Below are 20,390 nucleotides of genomic sequence, written 5' to 3' on the forward strand. Positions count from 1 at the left end.
TGACTCGGGAGGACTCGGAAAGCCTGTAGAATGGAAGGCAAGGGTGATGGAAGATGGGGGGATGGGCAGGCGTGAGGGGGAGGGGTATGGAGGTGGAGGCAAGGAGGGATGGGCCGTCGAAGAGCAGCAGTCCAAGGGAAGTCTCTTCTGGGCACCACCTTTGAAATAAATCTGTTCCAATGGTTTTGTTGTTGCTGTAAACTTTTTTTTTTTTTTTTTTTTTTTTTTGAGACGCAGTCTCCCTCTGCTGCCCAGGCTGGAGTGCAGTGATAGATCTTGGCCCATTGCAACATCCGCCTCCCCTGTTCAAGCGACTCTCATGCCTCAGGCTTCCAAATAGCTGGGATTACAGGTATGCGCCACCACGCCCAGCTAATTTTTGTATTTTCAGGCTGGTCTCAAACTCCTGACCTCAGGTGATCTGCTTGCCTCAGATCCCCAAAGTGCTGGGGTTACAGGCCCAGCTAATTTTTATATTTTCAGGCTGGTCTCAAACTCCTGATCTCAGGTGATCTGCTTGCCTCAGATCCCCAAAGTGCTGGGATTACAGGCCGGAACCATGGCGCTGGCCTGTTGTAAATTCTAATGCCACCTGCACTCTGGGGTCAAATTCCAGAGGGGAGTTGTCTGAATGGCCTGGTTTTGTCACACCCTCTAGAAGAGGGGACACATTAGCTGACACTATATAATGAGGAGCAGGCCATTCTCCAAGGAAAATCCATTCTGTTTCGGGGGGGAGGTTTGATAAAGGCCATGGAGGAAGAGGGAGGCACATCTACTTGTTTTTCGTTGTTGTTTGTTTTTTTATGAGATGGAGTCTTGCTCTGTCACCCAGGCTGGATTGCGTGGTGTGATCTAAAGTGCTGGGATTACAGGCCTGAGCCACCGCGCCCACGTGGCCCCATCTACTCGTAGAGGGGGATTGAAGGCGGGGGAAGAGGAGGTGGGGGATTTGTCCAGCAAAGGATGCAGCAAATGCCCAGCCCCAGGGAGGAGCCTGTCCTGGGGAGCGACAGCCTGAAGGCCTCCAAGTGGGGAGGGCGCTGGAGGAGGGGCCTGAGAGGCAGGCCTTGATGAATTGTTTGGATTTTTTTCTAAGTGCATTGGAAGCCACAGGAAGATTTTTTTTTTTTTTTTTTTTTGGATGGAGTCTCGCTCTGTCGCCCAGGCTGGAGTGCAATGCGCCATCTCGGCTCACTGCAACCTTCGCCTCCCGGTTTCAAGTGATTCTCCGGCCTCAGCCCCCCGAGCAGCTGGGAATACAGGTGCGTGCCACCACCCCCGAGTAATTTTTTGTATTTCTAGTAGAGACAGAGTTTCATTGTGTTAGCCAGGATGGTCTTGATCTCCTGACCTCGTGATCCGCCCACCTCAGCCTTCCAAAGTGCTGGGATTACACGCATGGTTACAGGCCAGCCATAGGAGGATCTTTAGAAGGAAAACAGCTGCCCCACGTGGTGGCTCGCACCTGCATTTCAGCACTTTGGAAGCTGGAGGTGGGAGCATTGCTTGGGCCCAGCGATGGGATGTGGGGGACGGGTGGGCGGAAGTAATAAAAAGAATAACATGATCTGATTTTCTCTTTTATTTATTTATTTTGAGACAGGGTCTCACACTATTGCCCAGAATGGAGTGCAGTGGCAGGATCTCAGCTCACTGCAACCTCCACCTCCCGGGTTCAAGACATTCTTCATGCTTCAGCTTCCCAAGTAGCTGGGACTACAGTCACACACACCACCATGCCCAGCTAATTTTTGTACTTTTAGTAGAGACAGAGTTTCTCCCTGTTGGCCAGGCTGGGCTCAAACTCCTGACCTCAGGTGATACACCTGCCTCAGCCTCCCAAAGTGCTGGGATTACAGGCGTGAGCCACCGTGCCTGGCCTGATTTTCTTTTTTTTTTTCTTTTTTTTTTCTTTTTTTTTTTGAGATGGAGTCTTGCTCTGTCACCCAAGCTGCAGTGCAGTGGCGTGATCTCGGCTCACTGCAAGCTCCGTCTCCCGGGTTCACGCCATTCTTCTGCCTCAGCCTCCCGAGTAGCTGGGACTACAGGTGCCCGCCACCACACCCGGCTAATTGTTTGTATTTTTAGTAGAGACGGGGTTTCACCGTGTTAGCCAGGATGGTCTCGATCTCCTGACCTTGTGATCTGCCCGCCTCGGCCTCCCAAAGTGCTGGGATTACAGGTGTGAGCCACCACAACTGGCCTGATTTTCTTTTTTTTTCTTTTCTTTTTTTTTGAGATGGAGTCTCGCTCTGTCACCCAAGCTGCAGTGTAGTGGCGTGATCTCGGCTCACTGCAAGCTCCGTCTCCCGGGTTCACGCCATTCTCCTGCCTCAGCCTCCCGAGTAGCTGGGACTACAGGTGCCCACCACCACACCCAGCTAATTTTTTGTATTTTTAGTAGAGACGGGGTTTCACTGTGTTAGCCAGGATGGTTTCGATCTCCTGACCTTGTGATCCGCCCACCTCGGCCTCCCGAAGTGCTGGGATTACAGCGTGAGCCACCGCGCCTGGCCTGATTTTCTTTTTGAAAGATTACTCTAGCTGCAGGGTGGAGGGTACATTGGCGAGAGCGGTCGACAGAGTAAATGCGCTATGAGGGCTCAAGCAGCCTCTGGACTGTGGCTGACGATGGAGCATGAGGTATGGGTGGGAGGGTCAGTTATTTTAGGAAGGAGAAAACCAGCATCGCAAACACAGGAGACACAGGGCAGGCTGAGAAGTCCTTCAGCATAAGGAAAAGCAAGCAGATTCCATGGATCCAAGTCCAAGACCCATGCCATCCTTGAAGGAAGGGAGGAGCCCGGGGTGCCAGACACCCAAGTAGGCAGGCAGGCAGTGGAGACAGGACAGAGCAGCAGCCACTGCACGCCTAGATAAATAAGTAGGTCCGAAGTCTACAGAGGCTATGACAGCCCAGGAGCAACCACAGGTCCACAGGAAAAGCACAGGAAGGCGAGCTGTCTGCTCTGTGTGCCTTTGGTTTTGTCTTCTTGCCAGGAAGGAAGGAAGAAGCAAAGACCAGCATGACCTGGCGGATGTTGGCTGAAGCAAGTACAGGTCTTCAGCGAAGAGCACGGCGGTCTCTGGAAAGGGGTGTGGGATAGAAAATGGAGTTCAAAACTAGGAATTCTTCCTATTTATCCTATAGACACTGCGGCACACATGCATAAAGACATAGATCCCAGAACGTTCATTAAGGCATCATTTGTGGCCGGGCGCGGTGGCTCATGCCTGTAATCCCGGCACTTTGGGAGGCCAAGGTGGGCGATCACCTGAGGTCAGGAGTTGGAGACCAGCCTGGCCAACATGGTAAAACCCTGTCTCTACTAAAAAAAAAAAAAAAATACAAGCTGGGGGCAGTGATTCACGCCTGTAATCCCAGCACTTTGGGAGGCCGAGGCGGGCAGATCATGAGGTCAAGAGTTTCGAGATCAGCCTGGCCAACATGCTAAAACTCTGTCTCTACTAAAGATAGAAAAAATTAGCCGGGCAAGGTAGCGCGCGCCTGTAATCTCATCTACTCGGGAGGCTGAGGCAGGAGAATCGCTTGAACCCAGGAGGCAGAGGTTGCAGTGAGCCAAGATCACACCACTGCACTCCAGCCTGGGCAACAGAGTGAGATTCCGTCTCAAACAAAGAAACAAGCAAACAAAGGCATCATTTGTAACACAAGACAAGTGGACTGATAAAACACGTCAGGAAATCGCCTCAATGTACATGAATATGGAATTGGTTAAACACATCGGGGGCATCTGTACAGTGGAACAGTGCAGCCATTAAAAAGAATGAAGCTGACCTATGTAATATCCAAGATACTTTATTTATTTATTTATTTATTTATTTATTTATTTATTATTTTTTTAGACAGAGTCTCACTCTGTCGGCCAGGCTGGAGTGCGGTGGCACTATCTTGGCTAACTGCAACCTCTGTCTCCCAGGCTCAAGCAATTCTCCTGCCTCAGCCTCCTGAGTAGTTGGGATTACAGGCACGAGCCACCACGCCTGGCTAATTTTGTTTGTATTTTTTTAGTAGAGATGAGTTTCACCATGTTGGTCAGGCTGGTCTCCAACTCCCGACCTCAGGTAATCCACCCACCTCAGACTCCCAAACTGCTGGGATTACAGGCGTGAGCCACTGCGCCCAGCACTATTTGTTTATTTTTTATTTATTTAAAAAAGGGCCAGGTGTGGTGGCTCATGCCTGTAGTCCCAGCTACTCGGGAGGCTGAGGCAGGGGAGTCGCTTGAACCCAGGAGGCGGAGGTTGCAGTGAGCCGAGATTGCACCACTGCACTCCAGCCTGGTGACAGAGCAAGACTCCATCTCAAAAGAAGAGAAGGGAAGGGGAGGGGAGGGGAGGGGAGGGGAGGGGAGGGGGAGAAAGGAAGAAAGAAAGAAAGAAAGAAAGAAAGAAAGAAAGAAAGAAAGAAAGAAAGAAAGAAAGAAAGAAAGAAAGAAAGAAGGAAATTGGCTGGGTGTGGTAGGAGTTTTGTTTTTTAATTTATTTTGAGACAGGGTCTCATAAATTTAAAAAATTATGTATTTTTTAAATTTATTTTGAGACAGGGTCTCAAAATAAAAAATAAAAATAATAAATTTATATTTTTTTTATTTATTTTGAGACAGGGTCTCACACTATTGCCCAGAATGGAGTGCAGTGGCAGGGCACTCTTGGCTGCACCCTGCAGCCAGGGCAATCTTTCAAAATGAAAATCAGGCCAGACGCAGTGACTCACGCCTGTAATCCCAGCACTTTGGGAGGCCGAGGCGGGCAGATCACAAGGTCAGGAGATCAAGACCATCCTGGCTAACACGGTGAAACCCTGTCTCTACTAAAAATACAAAAAATTAGCCGGGCATGGTGGCGGGCACCTGTAGTCCCAGCTACTCGGGAGGCTGAGTAATCCCAGCACTTTGGGAGGCCAAGGCAAGTGGATCACCTGAGGTCAATAGTTCGACACCAGCCTGGCCAACATGGCAAAACCCCATCTCCACTAAAAAAATACAAAAATTAGCCAGGCATGGTGGTGTACGCCTGTAATCCCAGCTACTCGGGAGGCTGAGGCTGGAGAATTGCTTGAACCCAGGAGGCGGAGGTTGAAGTGAGCCGAGATTGCGCCACTGTACTCCAACCTGAGTGATAGAGTGAGACTCCATCTAAATAAATAAATAAGAACCCAAAAGAGAAATGGGCAAAGGCTATGAACAAGTTCATGAAAAGGAAACCCAAATGACTAATACATAAGAGAAAATGCTCAACCTCAGAATAATAGAGAAATGCAACTTAAAACCGTAATGAGGTATCACTTTATGTCCATCACATTAGGAGAAATTAAATATCAGAGTTGGAAAGGACAGAAGCAGCCTGAACTCTCATCCATATGAACTCTGTACAACCATTGTGGAGGGCCATTGGCAGTACACAGTCAAGTTGAAGGTAAGCATTCCCCATAACATGGTAATTCCACCTTCTAGAGAATCACTTGTACAGGTGTGTAAGGATGCAGGCACAACAATATTAGACCTAGCTGGATTAGAACCAGCAAAATTTGAAAATAAACTAAATCAGGGTCAGCAAACCGGACCACAGACCAAAACTTGTCCACTGCCTGTTTCTATAAACAAAGTTTTATTGGAACACAGCTGCGCCCATTTGTTTGCATATTGTCCAAGGCTGCTTTCCGGGTACAACAGCAGAGTTGAGAGACTGCACAGAGAATGGATGACCTGTAAAGGCTGAAATATTTACAACCTGACTCTGCAGAAAACGCTTGAGACCCTTGATCTAAATACTCATCAGGGAATACAGATGATGCTACAAGCAATGAAAATAGTAAACCACAGCTACATATGTCGACATGACTAAATCTCAAAAATAAAATATTTTCAAAAGCAAGTTACAAAATGTTACAGTATGATGCTATTTATATGAAGCCTGAATACATGCACAGAATGGTATGCATGTTTATGGACATGTGTGTTTGTAGTAGGAGAATTAAAATACGTGGTTGGGCGCCGTAGCTCATGCCTGTAATCCTGGCAGTTTGGGAGGCCAAGGTGGGCAGATCACCTGAGGTCGGGAGTTCAAAACCAGCTTGACCAACATGGAGAAACCCCATCTCTACTAAAAACACAAAATCAGCCGGGCGTGGTGACGCATGCCTATAATCCCAGCTACTCCAGAGACTGAGGCAGGAGAATCGCTTGAACCTGGGAGGTGGAGGTTGCGGTGACCGAGATTGCATCATTGCACTCCAGCCTGGGCAACAAAAATGAAACTCCATCTCAAAAAAAAAATAAAAGAATTAAAATATGCATGGAAATACCCGAAAAAGAGTTCCCACTGGGAAGAAAGAGACTAGGACCAGGGATCAGGGAGGGGGTTACATATAAAACTTCGATGGTGTCTTTAATCTTGTTTTTTTTTTAATGACATAATATGCAAATATGGAAAAATGATTTCAGCCGGGTGGGGTGGCTCACGCCTGTAATCCTAGCACTTTGGGAGGCTGAGGTGGGCAGGTCACCTGAGCTCAGGAGACCAGCCTGGCCAACATAGTGAAACCCCATCTCTACTAAAAATACAAAAAATTAGCTGAGCGTGGTGGAGCGTGCCTGTAGTCCCAGCTACTCGTGAAGCTGAAATAGGAGAATTGCTGAACCCAGGAGACGGAGGTTGCAGTGAGCCGAGATTACACCACTGCACTCCAGCCTGGGCAACAGAGTGAGACGAAAGACTCTGTATCAAAAAAAAAAAAAAAAAAACGGCCGGGCATGGTGGCTCACGCCTGTAATCACTTTGGGAGGCCAAGGTGGGCAGATCACGAGGTCAGGAGTTCAAGACCAGTCTGGCCAACATGGTGAAACGCTGCCTCTACTAAAACTACAAAAAAATTAGCCAGGCGTGGAGGCACGTGCCTGCAGTCCCAGCTACTCAGGAGGCTGAGGAAGGAGAATCGCTTGAACCCGGGAGGTGGAGGTTGCAGTGAGCCAAGATCACACCACTATACTCCAGCTTAGGCAACAGAGCGAGACTCTGCCTCAAAAAAAAAAAAAAAAAAAAAAGAACCTGAGGGTTACTTTAGGGGTCTCCCATGTCCACTGCAGTTCTAGAATTCAGTGGCCCATCATCAACTGAGTGGATAAACAAAATGTGGTCTGTCCACACAAGGGAATATTATTTGGCCCTAAAAAGAATAAAGTTCTGGCCAGGCACAGTGGCTCACACCTGTAATCCCAGCACTTTGGGAGGCCGAGGTGAGTGGTTCACCTGAGGTCAGGATTTCAAGACCAGCCTGGCCAACATGGCGAAACCTCATCTGTACTAAAAATACAAAAATTAGCCAGGTGTGGTGGCGGGCGCCTGTAATCCCAGCTACACAGCAGGCTGAGGCAAGAGAATTGCTTGAACCCAGGTAGCGGAGGCTGTAGTGAGCCGAGGTTGCACCACTGCCCTCCAGCCTGGGCGACAGAGCGAGACTCTGCCTCAAAAAAAAAAAAAAAAAAAAGAATAAAGTTCTAACCCATGCTGCCACATGGATGGAATTGGAAGACGTTATACTCAGTGAAAGAAGCCAGATTCAGAGGACCACATCTTGTATGATTCCATTCCCGTGAAATCTCCGGAACAGGCAAACCCACACAGATGGAAAATAGATTCGTGGCTGCCAGGGGCTGGGGAGAATGGGAGGGTCCCAGGGATGATGGCTAAGGGGTGAGGGCTTCTCTTTGAGATGATCAAAACGTTCTAAAATTGATTGTGGTGATGGTTGCACAATTATGTGAATATACTAAAAAACCATAGAACTGTACACCTTAAATGGGTAAACTGTATGGTATGCGAATTCTATCTCAATAAAGTTGCTAAAAAATAAAAGTCTCCATTTCTCCCCTTGCCCCGCCCCCCAAAAAACACTAAAATTTTAATGGTCCTATATTCATTCTTTGAATGTTCACTCCATGAGCCAATGTCCTAGCTAGAATGAATCTCCAAGCTGCTTAGAAGAGTTAGGGACAGACTGTCAGAAAACTGGGTGTGGGTAATTAACTTCTGCTACACCCAAGACAATCTTTTCTTTTTGCTTTCTTTTTTTTTTTTTTGAGACAGAGAGTCACTCTGTTGCCCAGGCTGGAGTACAGGGGCACCATCTCTCGGCTCACAGCAACCTCCACCTCCTGGGTTCCAGCAATTCTCCTGCCTCAGCCTCCTGAGTAGCTGGGATTACAGGTGCACTCCAACACGCCTGGCTAATTTTTTTTTTTTTTTTTTTTTTTGGATTTTTAGTAGAGACGGGGGTTTCACCAGGTTGGTCAGGCTGGTCTCGAACTCCTGACCTCAGGAGATCCACCTGCTCCCGCCTCCCAAAGTGCTGGGATTACAGGCGTAAGCCATCGCACCTGGCCAATCTTCAACTGCAGAGATTTGAATATGGGAAAGAGAAAAAGGACTCCAGTTTCCCCAGGGCAGTTTCATTAAGAGACTGTGAGCGGAGAGCTCTACCAATGAAAGTGCAGGCTGGCGGCTCTCTACAGCGAAGGCAGAGGAGGTGAAATTCTGACTCTGGAAACTTGTCATTGCCACCAAATAAATAAATAAAAACGTGGGTAGTGGCCAAGCGCAGTGGCTCACGCCTGTGATCCCAGCACTTTGGGAGGCCGAGGCGGGCAGATCACCTGAAGTCGGGAGTTCGAGATCAGCCTGACCAACATGGAGAAACCCCATCTCTACTAAAAATACAGAAATTAGCTAGGTGTGGTGGCGCATGCCCGTAATCCCAGCTACTCAGGAGACTGAGGCAGGAGAATCGCTTGAATCCTGGGTGGCGGAGATTGCTGTGAGCCGAGATCGTGCCATTGCACTCCAGCCTGGACGACAGAGCTAGACTCTGTCTCAAAGAAAAAGAAAAAAAAAATGGGATGATTAGATTTTGTGTGTGTGATTTAGTTCTAGTCTAACAGGAGAAAACAGTAGCTTTGGTTGTTTCACAATCAAGTGAGTTTGTTTCCAACTGTAAAAGTGATTTGGTGCCGGATATCAATTTTATGGCCTTTCCCTGGGTGTGATAACTGGAAAATGCCCCAGGAAAACCTGTCGGAAATCTAGAATTGCTCCATATAGATCCTCCTGCCTCTAGGAATGAGAGTTGATGGAGGCTTAGCAAATCATTACATTATTCTGTACTAAAGCCTGATAGATCCATAATAAAAGTTAATGATTAGGTACATACTTTCCGACATTTCAAAAGAGTCTAGACTGAAAATACTGGAAAAAAACCTTTGTATGTTTCCTCTTTAGTATGCCACGGAATAAGATTTTAAAGTGGCTGGACGCGGTGGTTCACGCCTGTAACCCCAGCACATTAGGAGGCTGGTGGATTGTTTGAGCCCAGAAGTTCAAGCAAGGCCAGCCTGGACAATGTGCAAAACTCCGTCTCTACAAAAATTACAAAAACTAGCTGGGCATATTGTCATGCGTCTGTAGTCCCAGCTACTCGGCAGGCTGAGTTGGGAGGATTGCTTGAGTCTGGGGAAGCTGAGCCTGCAGTGAGCTGTGATTGTGCCACTGCACTTGTGCCTGGGTGAAAGAGTGAGGCCCTGTCTCAAAAGACAAAAAAAAAAAAAAAATTTAAAGCTACTTCAATACCAGCCTAAAGCCATTAGTGGTTTTTTTTTTTTTTTCATTTGTCACCCAAACAGTCCCACTTAAGAGAGTTCTTTTTTAATTCATTTTTATTTTTTTATTTTTTTCAGACGGAGTCTTGCTGTGTCGCCCAGGCGGGAGCGCAATGGTGTGATCTCAGCTCACTGCAACCTCTGCCTCCCAGGTTCAAGCGATTCTTCTGCCTCAGCCTCCTGAGTAGCTGGGATTACAGGCATGTGCCACCATGCCCGGGTAATTTTGTATTTTTAGTAGAGGTGAGGTTTCACCATGTTGGTCAGGCTGGTCTTGAACTCCTGACCTCAGGTGGTCTGTCCGCCTCAGCCTCCCAAAGTGCTGGGATTATAGGCATGAGCCACTGCACCCAGCTTGTCATGCTCTTTTAACAGGGACCCACAGGAGAAGATACATTTACCATCAAGACTAGCCTGCATAATGAAAAAGAATGTTTTACTGAAATGCTGTTATTAAAGGGCTGCATTCCAATATTTTCTGTTTTATTCTATTTTGTTAAAAATATAAATGTTGGGGGCCGGGCCCAATATTGGGAGGCCAAGGTGGGTGGATCTCTTGAGCCCAGGAGTTTGAGACCAGCCTGGCCAACAAAACGAGGCCCCATCTCTACAAAAAATAACTTAAAAAATTAGGTGGGCATAGTGTCATGCTCTAGTAGTCCTAGCTACTCTGGAAGCTGAGGCAGGAGGATCACCTGAGTGCAGGAGTTGGAGGCTGCAGTGAGCTACGGTTGCACCACTGCGCTCCAGCCTGAGTGACAGAGGGGACTCTATCTCCAAAAAAGAAAAAAGGCCGGGTGTGGTGACTCATGCCTGTAATCCCACTATTTTGGGAGGCCTAGGTGGGTAGATCACCTAAGGTCAGGAGTTCGAGACCAGTCTGGCCAACATGGTGAAACCCCATCTCTACTAAAAATACAAAAACAAAAAAAATATCAGCCAGGTGTGGTGGTGGGCGCCTGTAGTCCCAGCTACTCGGGAGGCTGAGGCAGGAGAATCGCTTGAACCCGGGAGGCAGAGGTTGCAGGGAGCCAAGATCGCACCACTGTACTTCAGCTTGGCGACAGAGTGAGAGTCTGTCTCAAAAATAAATAAACAAATAAGAAAAAAAAGTTATTTGCAGTCCACTAAGTTGGTATGATGACCTACCATTGGGACACAATCAACAGCGTACTGGAAAGATAGTACCCTCAGTGAGTCCATTTGAAGTTCTCACCCCTCTCTGACCATCAGGCCTTCACAGGACTGTGGGGCCCCAGCCACCAAGGTCCATGGAAGCCTCATTCCTTGTGTCTAAACGTGTAAACGTTACAAATCAATGTACTACAGTAAATAAAATAAAATGTAAGGACCAATTTTGGGGCTCAGAAGCCAGTACCCCAAAATTTGGCATTTGATATGCTGAGCTGAAGAAGCCTCAAGGTCTCTCTGACCACCATCCCACCATCTCTCCCAAAGAAACCTCAGCTCTCTTATCTGCCTGAGATCCGGCCCCAGCAAGGAGAACAAGGGTTTCCTCCCCTTCCTGTAAGACCAAAAATGTAACCACACACAAACAGACCCTTTTTCAAGATAGTGACTTTCTCCAAGGATCATTTAAATTCCAAAGAGAACTATCTACAAGTGAATTTCTGTTCCCCGATCAGATCAGATCGTTCTTCCTGCAATCATTTATTGCCCCTCAATAGAATTCCTTTTCTCCCAGCTGGGCTCCCATAACCTGTTCTACCAGGATCCAATCCCCTGTTCGTTCTTTCTGTAATCTCAAGATGGTACAGAAGCTTCTGTAGCTTATTAGGAAGTTGGGTCTTCATTCTGAAGCCTCCGTGTATTGTGTTAAATAAACTTGCGTGTCTTTTCTTCCATAATCAACCTGGCTCATGCCAGTGATTTTTCAGCAAACCTTTAGGGGACCAAGGGCCTTGGTACCCACACCTACCTTGAACTTGGTGGGGCCAAGAAGTATAAATGGCGCCTTTGGCCCCTGGCCCCGCTCTCTGCTCCCCATCTTTGGCTCTGCCCCTACCGCCCAACCTGCACTTTGAGCTCTCCTCCTGCCTCTACCTACAGCTGGCTGCCTCTAGACCACCCCTCTGGCCTGGAAGGGCACAAGCCAGCCCGTCCACCCTCAGAAAGATGGCTTGAGACCATCTGGGTGGGGAATTCTGGGATCTCAGATAAAAAAAATAAAACTAGAAGTGGGGCCTGGGCTCCTTGTCCCGTGGGGAGGGGCACGGCCAGTGGAGGGCCAGAGCAAGCCCTCCTAAAGCTTGCGATGCAGGGCAGGGGCCCCACCTGGGGTGCAGGAGGTGAAACAGACATTCCTGGGAGGCACCACCATCTACCCGCCTGCCTTCTCCGCAGGTGCCTGTCCTCTTTTTTCTGTTTTTGAGACAGGGTCTCACTCTGACACCCAGGCTAGAGTGCAGTGGCACTGTTATGGTTCACTGCAGCCTCTACTTCATGGACTCAAGTGATCCTCCCATTTCAGCCTCCTGAGTAGCTGGGACTACAGGGGGCAGGTGCCACCATGGCCAGCTAATTTATTTTGTAGAGATGGGTTTCACTATGTTGCCCAGGCTGGTCTTGAACTCCTGGGCTCAAGCAATCCTCCCATCTTGGCCTCCAAAATTGCTGGGATTACCAGTCTGAGCCACTGAACCTGATTGAAAAATAGCTTTAAATAACTTAGTTTGTAACATTCATAGCCTAATTCATAATATTTAGATATAAAAGGCCAGCTCTGATATCTAAGAGGAAAGCCAAGTGGCTAGGATTCTCTTATGCATCCTTGGCACAGCTAACCTGTCCTTATCGGATGCCTTGATGGCTGAAACCCCCGGTGCCCATTTGGAGAGCGAGAGTAAATTATCTAAAAGTACGAAGAAGAAAATGAAAATAAATCACAGTGCCACCTCCCATAAATAGCTACTGCTAATACCTCAGACCATCGTTCTGGTTTTTTTCCATGTATATCTATATGCCTCTATCTATACATTCAAATAAATCATTTTGCGGAATTTAAGAGCATACTAATCGTTGCCTCTTTCACTTAAATGTGTTGTGAGCATTTCCACGTATTAAATATTTTTCTAAGCCTGAGTCATGAGTATGTTTTAAATCTCTAATAAATTTTTCCAAATTGCACACCAGAAAGAGTGTAGCGCTTTGTGTCAACACCAGCAGTCTTTGAGGACACTTGTATTTGGGCACCTCCCCAACATTGTGTATGAGCCCCTAAGAGACGGGGAGAGGGCAAGAGCACAGGTTCTGGACACCCGCATTGGCCTAAACCCCAGCTCTGCAACAAACCCCCACGTGACTTTGGGTGAGTGATTACATTTTCCAGCACAGGCATCATCCGGTGTTTTCTATAAAGGTCCAGATTAGAGTTGGTTTCACGAGCTCTCATCTCCAGCACGCACAAGGGCCCCAGGCTTCGAAGGCCCCGAGTTTGCTTTAATGCTCTGCTGTCACTGCTTTAGCATTCTTAACTAATTAATTAATTTTATTTATTTATTTTTGAGACAGAGTCTCACTCCATTGCCCAGGCTGGAGTGCAGTCACTATAACCTCTGCCTCCTGGGTTCAAGTGATTCTCCTGCCTCAGCCTCCCAAGTAGCTGGGATTACAGGTGCATGCCACCACACTCGGTTAATTTTTGTATTTTTAGCAGAGACAGTTTTCACCATGTTGGCCAGACTGGTCTCGAACACCCACCCTCAGGTGATCCGCCCACCTTGGCCTCCCAAAGTGCCGGGATTACAGGCATGAGCCACCTCGCCCGGCCACATTTTTAGTTTATAAACAACGCCCCTGCATTTTCATTTTGCACTGAGCTACTACAACTCTGTAGCCAGTTGTGGGCCAGATGGTGTCTATTTTCAGCTTTGTGGACCATAGGTCCCTGTTGCAACTACTCAAGTCTGCAGGCAGCGGGAGCAGCAGCCAGGGACAGCAGGTAATGAATGAGCATGGCAGTTCTCCAGTAACATTGCATCTGCAAACACAGCCGGCATCCCGGATTTTGCCAGTGAACCATAGTTTGCTGACTCCTGAACCAGTGCCTCAGTTTCCCCAAAGGTAAAAATAGGGAGAATAATATTGCTTATTTCATACGGCTGTTCTGAGGACCAGTCATTGAATGCAAATAAAGCACTTAAACAGTCAGCATTACATAGTGTTAGCTGTATTACTGTGTTAGTCTGTTTGCGTTGCTGTAAAGGAATACCTGAGGTTGGGAAATTTCTAAAGAAAAGAGGTTTCATTGACTCATGGTTTCTCAGGCTGTACAGGAAGCATGGTGGCCAGCATCTGCTTCTGGTGAGAGCCCCAGGAAAGCTTCCAATCATGATGGAAGGTAAAGGGGGAGTAGATGCATCACACGGCGAGAGCGAGAGAGGAGAGAGGTGCCACACTCTTTTAAACGACCAGCTCCCCTGTAAACTCAGAGGGAGAACTCGCTGATTACCGCGCCATTCATGAAAGATCCGCCCCTGTGATCCAATAGCTCCCCCCAGGCCCCACCTCCAATATTGGAGGCCGCATTTCAACATGAGATTTGGAGGAGACAAACATCCAAACCACATCAATTACTTTTTTTCTTTTTGAAGTGGAGTTTCACTCTTGTTGCCCAGGCTGGAATGCAACAATCTCAGCTCACCATAAGCTCTGCTTCCCGGGTTCAGGCGATTCTCCTTCCTCAGCCTCCAGAGTAGCTGGGATTACAGGCATGTGCTACCACACCCAGCTAATTTTGTTTGTATTTTTAGTAGAGACGGGGTTTCTCCATGTTGGCCAGGCTGGTCTTGAACTCCCGACCTCAGGTGATCCGCCCACCTCAGCCTCCCAAAGTGCTAGGATTACAGGCTTGAGCCACTGGACCCAGCCATCAATTACTTTTTTTAAAAAAGTATGCTGGGCACGGTGGCTCATGTGGTAATCCTGGCACTTTGGGAGGCCGAGGCGGGTGGATCACCTGAGGTCGGGAGTTCGAGACCAGCCTGGCCAACATGGAGAAACCCCATCTCTACTCAAAATACAAAATTAGTCGGAAGTGGTGGTGGGCACTTGTAATCTCAACTGCTCGGGAGGCTGAGGCAGGAGAATCGCCTGAACCCAGGAGGCGGAGGTTGCAGTGAGCTGAGATTGCGCCATTACATTCCAGTCTGGGCAACAAGAGCAAAACTCCATCTCAAATTAACAAATTAACATAAAGTAAAATGTACTCTTTTTAGCCATTTTTAACTGTGCAGTGCCATGGCATTAAGCACGCTCATACTGCTGTGCAACTTCTCCACTACCCAACTGCAGAGTTTTTTTGTTTTTTTGTTTGTTTTTTTTTTTAAATATATCTCGCAGAACTAAAACTCTGTATTCATTAAACACTAACTCCTCATTCTCCCTACCCCTATCCCCTGGCAGCCACCATCATCCTACTTTCTGTCTCTATGAATTTGACTGTTCTAGCCACATCATACTCATATGAGTCTAATCATGAGTGGAATCATACAGTATTTTAACTTTTTGTGACTGGCTTATTTCATTTTGCATAACATCCTCCAGGTTCATCCATGTTGTAGCACGTGTCAGATTTCCCTTCCTTTTTTTTTTTTTTTGAGATGGAGTCTCACTCTGTTGCCTAGGCTGGAGTGCAATGGTGCGATCTTGGCTCACTGCAACCACCACCTCCCAGGTTCAAGCGATTCTCCTGCCTCAGCCTCCCGAGTAGGTGGGATTACAGACGTGCATCACCACACCCGGCTAATTTTTGTATTTTTAGTAGAGATGGGGTTTCACCATGTTGGCCAGGCTTTTCTCGAACTCCTGACCTGAGGTGATCCGCCCACCTTGGCCTCCCAATTTAAGACTTTTTGTCCATTTTTGATTTGGGTTGTTTGCGAGTTTTTTACTTAGTTTCAATTAAGAGTTTTCTATGTATTCTAGACATTAATCCCTTATCAGGTATGTGATTTGGAAATATTTTCTCCCATTTCCAACCCTATGGGTTGCCAAATACTTTCAGCCCCACGGACTGCCTTTTTACCCTGTTGGTAGTATTCTTTTTTCTTTTCTTTTTTTTTTTTTTTTGAGATGGAGTTTCGCTCTTGTTGCCCAGGCTGGAGTGGAATGGTGCCATCTCGGCTCACTGCAACCTCCACCTCCCAGGTTCAAGCGATTCTCCTGCCTCAGCCTCCCGTGTAGCTGGGATTACAGGTGCATGCCACCACGCCTGGCTAACTTTTGTATTTTTAGTGGAGACGGGGCTTCACCATGTTGCCCAGGCTGGTCTCCAACTCCTGATCTCAGGTGATCCACCCATCTTGGCCTCCCAAAGTGCTGGGATTACATTACAGGCATGAGCCACCACACCCGGTCGATTACTATAGCTTTGTAGTAAGTTTTAAAATCAACTATATTCTTCTGTTTCAAGACTGATTTTGCTGTGAGGGTTCCCTGATATATATATATATATATATTTTTTTTGAGACGGAGTCTCGCTCTGTTGCCCAGGCTGGAGTGCAGTGGCACAATCTCGGCTCACTGCAAGCTCAGCCTCCCGGGTTCACGCCATTCTCCTGCCTCAGCCTCCCGAGTAGCTGGGACTACAGTCGCCCGCCACCACTCCTGGCTAATTTCTTGTATTTTTAGTAGAGAAGGGGTTTCACCGTGTTAGCCAGGATGGTCTCGATTTCCTGACCTGGTGATCCGCCTGCCTCGGCCTCCCAAAGTGCTGGGATTACAGGTGTGAGCCACCTCGCCCGGCCAGGGTTCCCTGATATTCTGTATGAATTTTAGGATGGATTTTTTTGTTTCTGTAAAGAAAATTGTTGGGATCTTCTTTCTTTCTTTCTTTCTTTCTTTCTTTCTTTCTTTCTTTCTTTCTTTCTTTCTTTCTTTCTCTGTCTCTCTCTCTCTCTCTCTCTCCCTCCCTCCCTCCCTCTCTCTCTCTCTCTCTTTCTTTCTTTTTTGAGATGGAGTTTCGCTCTTGTTGCCCAGGCTGGAGTGCAATCTCAGCTCACTGCAACCTCCGCCTCCCAGATCCAAGCAATTCTCCTGCCTCAGCCTCCGGAGTAGCTGGGATTACACGCATGTGCCACCACACCCGGCTAATTTTGTATTTTTTTTTTTTTAGTAGAGACAGAGTTTCTCCAGATTGATCAGGCTGGTCTTGAACTCCTGACCTCAGGTGATCCGCCCACCTTGGCCTCCCAAACTGCTGGGATTACAGGAGTGAGCCACTGCGCCCGGCCCATTGTTGGAATTTTTACAGGGATTGCATTGAATCCGTAGATGCTACCATCACTTTTTTTTTTTTTTGAGACTTTTGTATTGCTTTGTCACCCAAGCTGGAGTGCAGTCATACAATCAAGGCTCATTGCAGCCTTGACCTCCTGGGCTCAAGGGAGCCTCCCACCTCAGTCTGCCAAAGTGCTGGGATTACAGGTATGAGGCACAGTGCCCGGCCTCCTATTACCTTTTTAAAGTTTAACAAATTAGTATATTGAAGAGGTATTTTGTTATAGTTAGTTTACATTTTTGTTCCTAATAAGGTTGATTAGCTATTTGTAAATCTTTCTGAATGTTTGCAATCTTTTGTCTGTTGAAATTAAAAAAAAATTTCTACTGGTGTTTTAATATCACATATATAAAGGATATTGAGAATATCAACATTTCTTTTGTCACATAAAATCTCCAAATATTCCTTGGGCCCCTCTTTGGGCACTGTGTAGAATGTTGGCTGAAGTAGGGAGGAAAAAGCCATAATCCCTGTCCTTGTGGGGTAGGAAGGTTGATCAGCAATATTGAAATAATTACCCAAATATGTCATTACAGATGGGAATAAGTGACGTAAAGGCAAGAACGAAAGTACAATGAAGGGGACCTGATCTAGCTGTGGGCTCAGAGAAGGCTGAGATGCTAAGATGAGTTGCAAATAACTATAGATGGTGTGGAGGGGTGAAATCGGAGTTGAAGAGCCTTCCTGGCAAAGATGTGAGCACGTGCAAAGGTCCTGAGGTCTGAAGGAGCTGGATGTGTCCAAGGACATGAAAACAGGCGGTTTGACCTGAAATGTGAAGAATGAGAAGTTGAGGGAAGTAGGGTCAGGCATGGAAACGACGTTTCAGACAAAAGAGAAGGCATCAGCTAATTGGCCAGCAATTCTTTATTTTGTCTCATAGATACTGTGGGTACAGTTGTGCATAGACAGCCACCTGAGGCCTAGACTGATGCCCATGGGCTTCTCTGCTCCTCGCTCTGACATTTTCTTTTTTTTGGTTTTTTGAGACGGAGTCTTGCTCTGTCAACTAGGCTGGAGTGCAGTGGCAAGATCTTGGCTCACTGCAACCTCTGCCTCCCGGGTTCAAGCGATTCTTCTGCCTCAGCCTCCCTAGTAGCTGCAAGCACCACCATGCCCAGCTAATTTTTCTATTTTTAGTAGATACGGGGTTTCACCATGTTGGTCAGGTTGGTCTCAAACTCCTGACCTCATGATCCGCCCGCCTTGGCCTCCCAAAGTGCTGGGATTTCAGGTGTGAGCCACCGCATCAGGCTCTGACTTTTTCTTAGATCAGTGCACCACCCATCACCCTGGTGGTCTCCTGAATTGGCTTATTCATTCATCCATTCATTAACTCCACAAATATTCATTGAGCACCCTGTGATGTGTGAGGTTTACTCTGAGGGGCTGGGGCGGTAGCAGTGAACAAGACACCCGACCCCTGCCCCTTAGGGACAGGAGAGATGGACGATAAACAAGTGTGCAAATAAATCAGCTAGTCTCAGATGTCTATAAATCCTTAGAGGTAAATTAAAGAGGGAAAAGGGCAGACAGTCATGTGGCTGGACTTCCGCAACCATCATGAAGCTGGCTGAAGGGCTAGGTCCTGCAGGCCCTTGTAGGCCAGGTAGGATCTTTACCTTATCCTCAGTGTGAAGGGAAGTGACAGGTGGTTTTCAGCCAGAAGGTGATTCCGTCAGGTTTGTGGTTGGGAAAAGTCCCTCTGGCTTCGTTGTGGACAATGGAATGGGGGCAGAAGAGTGGATTCCAGAGATCATGGGGGTGCTATTTCAGTGGCCCAGGTAGGAGGTGATGACGTCCTGAGAAAGGGTGGAGGCAGGGACCACAGAGTGACAGGGATGGGCGAATCCAAGGTCTTCAGGAAGAACAGTTCACAAGACCTGGCAAAGGATGGGGCAGGAGAGGAGGGAGAGGGTGGAGCCCAGGAGGTAGCCTGGGTCCTGGCTAGCTGGAGAGGGTGCCATTGAATGAAAAATGACTCATGGAAGGGCCCGACTGTGGGGGAAGACCCTGCGATTGGTCTTGGTGAGTTAGTGCCTGGAGGCATCTGTGGAAATAGAAAGCTGGTGAAGGCAGAGGAGAATCAGGAAATGCAGACGGGGCAAGTGTGCGGGTTTGAGATATTTCGGGGTGAACAGCATTGGACACTGGGGATGAGGGAGAGGAAAGTGACAAGGATGGACTCAGGTTTCCAGCTTGTGCCACCTAGAAAGAGGGTCTGCTGTTTTGTGGCATGTATTTTCCCTGGTTTGTCATTTGCCTTTTTTTTTTTCTTGAGATGGAGTCTCGCTCTGTCGCCCAGGCTGGAGTGCGGTGGCGCAATCTCGGCTCACTGCAAGCTCCGCCTCCCAGGTTCACGCCATTCTCCTGTCTCAGCCTCCCGAGTAGCTGGGACTACAGGCGCTGGCCACCACACCCGGCTAACTTTTTGTATTTTTAGTAGAGACGGGGTTTCACCATGTTAGCCAGGATGGTCTCCATCTCCTGACCTCATGATCTGCCCACCTCGGCCTCCCAAAGTGCTGGGATTACAAGCGTGAGCCACCGCGCCCAGCCTGTCATTTGCCTTTTACTTTTGTTTTGGGTGGGGTTAATTTGGCTCACGGTAAAAGAACAGTTTTCCTGCATGTTTTATTAACACTAAAATGAAACGCATTTAGGGTCACAGAGATTTGGGGCCATACTAAACCAAAATTTTAAAAATAAAGTCCTTGGCTGGGCGTGGTGGCTCACACCTGTAATCCCAGCACTTTGGGAGGCCAAGGTGAGTGGATTGCTGGAGCCCAGGAGTTTGAGACCAGCCTGGGCAACATGGCGAAACCCCATCTCTACTAAAAATACAAAAAATTAGCCAGGCGTGGTGGTGGTACCCTCCTGTAGTCCCAGCTACTCAGGAGGCTGAGGTGGGAAGATCCCTGGAGCCCGGGAGGCGGAGGTTGCAGGGAGCCAAGATCAGCCACTTCACTCCAGCCTGGGCGGTAGAGGAGATCCTGTCTCAAAAAATAAAATAAAATAAATAATTTCCTCCGTATCCTCAGAAACAATTCAAAGCCATGTGTAAACCCAAAACTGAGTTCATCACTTCTAAGATCAGAAGAATTTGTGTTTGTTTATGATGAACTCACACACCATAATCTTCCAAAATCATTGAATTCCAGGTGTGACTAAAGCAAAGTTTCAGATTGCAAGTTGACACTGTTACCTGAAAGCTGCACACAACTGCTGAATCACTTTTTAAACAAGCATGAAAACAACAATTTCTCTTGTTCCCAGTACAGCTTTGAGCCACAAAAATTAATTACATCACCTAGGAAATTAGCCCTGCGTTTTGCATCCAAAGGTCAATGTTCAGACTGAGAAATGGTTTAGTGCTTCCAAACACAGGGCTCAGCACATAAATATTTATCATG

At 47.5% G+C, this 20,390-nt stretch overlaps 1 long non-coding RNA gene across 1 annotated transcript, besides 2 other annotated features; it reads left to right on the plus strand.

Annotated features, from left to right (window-relative positions):
• Positions 637-1,193: an enhancer, noted in NCBI's record as "H3K27ac-H3K4me1 hESC enhancer chr1:8299555-8300111 (GRCh37/hg19 assembly coordinates)". NCBI's record gives its function as "activates a minimal SCP1, AML or CMV promoter by ChIP-STARR-seq in naive H9 embryonic stem cells {active_cell/tissue: H9 hESC(naive)}" and the evidence as "EXISTENCE:reporter gene assay evidence [ECO:0000049][PMID:30033119]".
• LOC105376695 (uncharacterized) lies at positions 1,100-10,149 on the plus strand. Its single transcript, XR_946937.3, has 3 exons — positions 1,100-1,265; positions 5,332-5,442; positions 9,756-10,149. It is a non-coding gene; the product is annotated as an uncharacterized LOC105376695 (long non-coding RNA).
• Positions 1,194-1,749: an enhancer, noted in NCBI's record as "H3K4me1 hESC enhancer chr1:8300112-8300667 (GRCh37/hg19 assembly coordinates)". NCBI's record gives its function as "activates a minimal SCP1, AML or CMV promoter by ChIP-STARR-seq in naive H9 embryonic stem cells {active_cell/tissue: H9 hESC(naive)}" and the evidence as "EXISTENCE:reporter gene assay evidence [ECO:0000049][PMID:30033119]".
• Positions 10,150-20,390: the final 10,241 nt, after the last annotated feature.

This window comes from Homo sapiens, chromosome 1 (genome assembly GCF_000001405.40).
Source record: "Homo sapiens chromosome 1, GRCh38.p14 Primary Assembly".
Lineage (NCBI taxonomy): Eukaryota > Metazoa > Chordata > Mammalia > Primates > Hominidae > Homo > Homo sapiens.